The sequence below is a fragment of the Homo sapiens genome, chromosome 14 (assembly GCF_000001405.40).
Source record: "Homo sapiens chromosome 14, GRCh38.p14 Primary Assembly".
Taxonomy (NCBI): Eukaryota; Metazoa; Chordata; class Mammalia; order Primates; family Hominidae; genus Homo; species Homo sapiens.
The window spans coordinates 25,584,775-25,587,416 of NC_000014.9; the positions used below are offsets into that span (position 1 = coordinate 25,584,775).

At 41.3% G+C, this 2,642-nt stretch overlaps 2 annotated features.

Moving 5' to 3' along the window:
• Positions 707-1,208: an enhancer, noted in NCBI's record as "H3K4me1 hESC enhancer chr14:26054687-26055188 (GRCh37/hg19 assembly coordinates)". NCBI's record gives its function as "activates a minimal SCP1, AML or CMV promoter by ChIP-STARR-seq in naive H9 embryonic stem cells {active_cell/tissue: H9 hESC(naive)}" and the evidence as "EXISTENCE:reporter gene assay evidence [ECO:0000049][PMID:30033119]".
• Positions 1,209-1,708: an enhancer, noted in NCBI's record as "H3K4me1 hESC enhancer chr14:26055189-26055688 (GRCh37/hg19 assembly coordinates)". NCBI's record gives its function as "activates a minimal SCP1, AML or CMV promoter by ChIP-STARR-seq in naive H9 embryonic stem cells {active_cell/tissue: H9 hESC(naive)}" and the evidence as "EXISTENCE:reporter gene assay evidence [ECO:0000049][PMID:30033119]".

Consider the following 2,642-nt stretch of genomic DNA (forward strand, 5'->3'; position numbering starts at 1 on the left):
TTGTCTTTTCTCTTTATTTCATTAATTTGATCTTTAATCACTGATATCTTTTCTTCTGCTTGATCAAATCAGCTACTGAAGCTTGTGCGTGTGTCCCGAAGTTCTCATGCTGTGTTTTGCAGCTCTATCAGGTCATTTATGTTATTTTGTACACTGTTTATTCATGTTAGCCGTTCTTCTAACCTTTTTTCAAGGTTTTTAGCTGCCTTGCAATGGGTTAGAACATGCTCCTTTAGCTCAGAGATGTTTGTTATTACCGATCTTCTGAAGCCTACTTCTGTCAACTCATCACACTCATTCTCCGTCCAGTTTTGTTCCCTTGCTGGCGAGGAGCTGCGATCCTTTGGAAGCAAAGAGGCGTTCTGGTTTTTGGAATTTTCAGCTTTTCTGTTCTGGTTTTTCTCCATCTTTATGGTTTTATCTACCTTTGGTCTTTGATGTTGGTGACGTACGGATGGAGTTTTGGTGTGGATGTCCTTTCTGTTGATGTTAATGCTATTCCTTTTTGTTTGTTAGTTTTCCTTCCAACAGTGAGGCCCCTCAGTTGCAGGTCTGTTGGAGTTTGCTGAAGATCCACTCCAGACCCTGTTTGCCTGTGTATCACCAATAGAGGCTGCAGAACAGCAAATATTGCTGCCCGATCCTTCCTCTGGAAGCTTCGTACCAGAGGGGCACCTGCCAGATGCCAGCCAGAGCTCTCCTGTGTGAGGTGTCTTTCAGCCCCTACTGGGAAGTGTTTCCCAGTCAGGCTACATGGGGGTAAGGGACCCACTTGAGGAGGCTGTCTGTCTGTTATCAGAGCTCGAACGCCATGCTGGGAGAACCACTGCTCTCTTCAGAGCTGTCAGGCAGGGACGTTTAATTCTGCAGAAGCTGTGCCCACAGGTGTCCCTTCTCCCAGGTGCTCCATCCAAGGGAGATGAGGGTTTTATCTATGAGTCCCCGACTGGGGCTGCTGCATTTTGTTCAGATATGCCCACAGAGGTGGAATCTAGAGAGGCAGTCAGCCTTGCTGAGCTGCAGTGGGCTCCGCCCAGTTCAAGCTTCCCTGCAGTTTTGTTTACACTGTGAGCATAAAACCACCTACTCAAGCCTCAGCAATGGCAGACGCCCCTCCCCTCCACCATGCTCCAGCATCCCACGATGATCTCAGACTGCTGCACTTGCAGTGAGAATTCCAAGACAATGGATCTTAGCTTGCTGGGCTCCGTGGGCATGGGACCCACTGAGCCAGGCACCGGAGGGAATCTCCTGGTCTGCTGATTGTGAAGATCATGGGAAAAGTGCAGTATTAGGGCAGGAGTGTACCTTTCCTCCCAGTACAGTCTCTCAAGTCTTCCCTTGGCTGGGAAAGGGAAATCCCCTGACCCCTTGCACTTCCCAGTTGAGACGATGCCCTGCCCCGCTTTGGCTCACCCTCCATGGGCTGCACCCACTGTCCAGCCAGTCTCAGTGAGATGAACCAGGTACCTCAGTTGGCAATGCAGAAATCACCCATCTTCTGCACCAAACTCACTGGGAGCTGAAGACTGGAGCTGTTCCTATTCGGCCATCTTGGAAGCTGTCTGACCATCTTTTAATTAGTTCACAACCTGAGATGTTGTAGATGTCATATTTATTGGATCCTTTATTAGAGACAGAAAGCATATAGGCAAATCCAAACCAACGTGAAATGTAAATAACAACAGCAATAGTAATATCTAATTTTGAGGATTAGAAAAGATAGAATTAAAATACTTAAAAAAGTATGTAGTTTATGAAGGACTTTAAGTCGTTGGACTTAAAATGTTAAAATTGTACAATCTAAGTGTATTATTTGGGAGGGGATAATTTACTGCTTAAAACTAGAGATCATTAAATTGGTATGTTAACATGTCAAGGTAAATACATAAAGAATAGAAGCAGAATGTTTAACTTCCAAACTAATGTAGATATTTTAAGAAGACAAGAACAAAAAGGAAACTCAATCTTTCTAAAAGAATGTAGGAAATAAGAAAAAAAAGAAGCATAAAAAAAGTGAAACAAATAATCTGATAGGAGTTAATCCAAGCAAATAGGTCATCAAGGTAAATGTAAAATTTTTTCAGGTAAAAGACAAAATTTTCAGACTGAGTAAAAGTCTTACAAAATCTAGGTTTATGCCCTTTAAGAACAAATAAAGATTGCAAATTTACAAGACAGATATGCCAGACAAATACTATTCACAAAAAGCTGTTTGTTCATTTTAATCTCAGATAAAATAGACTTTAGGACCAAAAAATGTATTATTGGAAATAAATAGAATCATTACATATTGATAAGCTATTCATTCACCAGGACGATTCAGCAAGTCTAAAATTGTATATAATGGGTGTCTTTAAAATATATAAATTTGATTAAATTATAAGAAAACAATAAGTCCATATTACATTGAAAGATTATAATTCTCTCATTTATTTATGAATAGAGCAGCCCCAAATCAGTAAGAGTGGAAATTATTTTAATTATAAAATCAAGAGGGTTGAACAGGGGAATTGTGTCTCATGCAACCTTAATGACAAGGCTCAAGTGGGAATGACAACCCAGCTCTCTAAGCCATACATGCTATTGTTGGAAGGACTACCTCTCTTTTATTGATCTACTGTGCTATATATGCTGGGGTT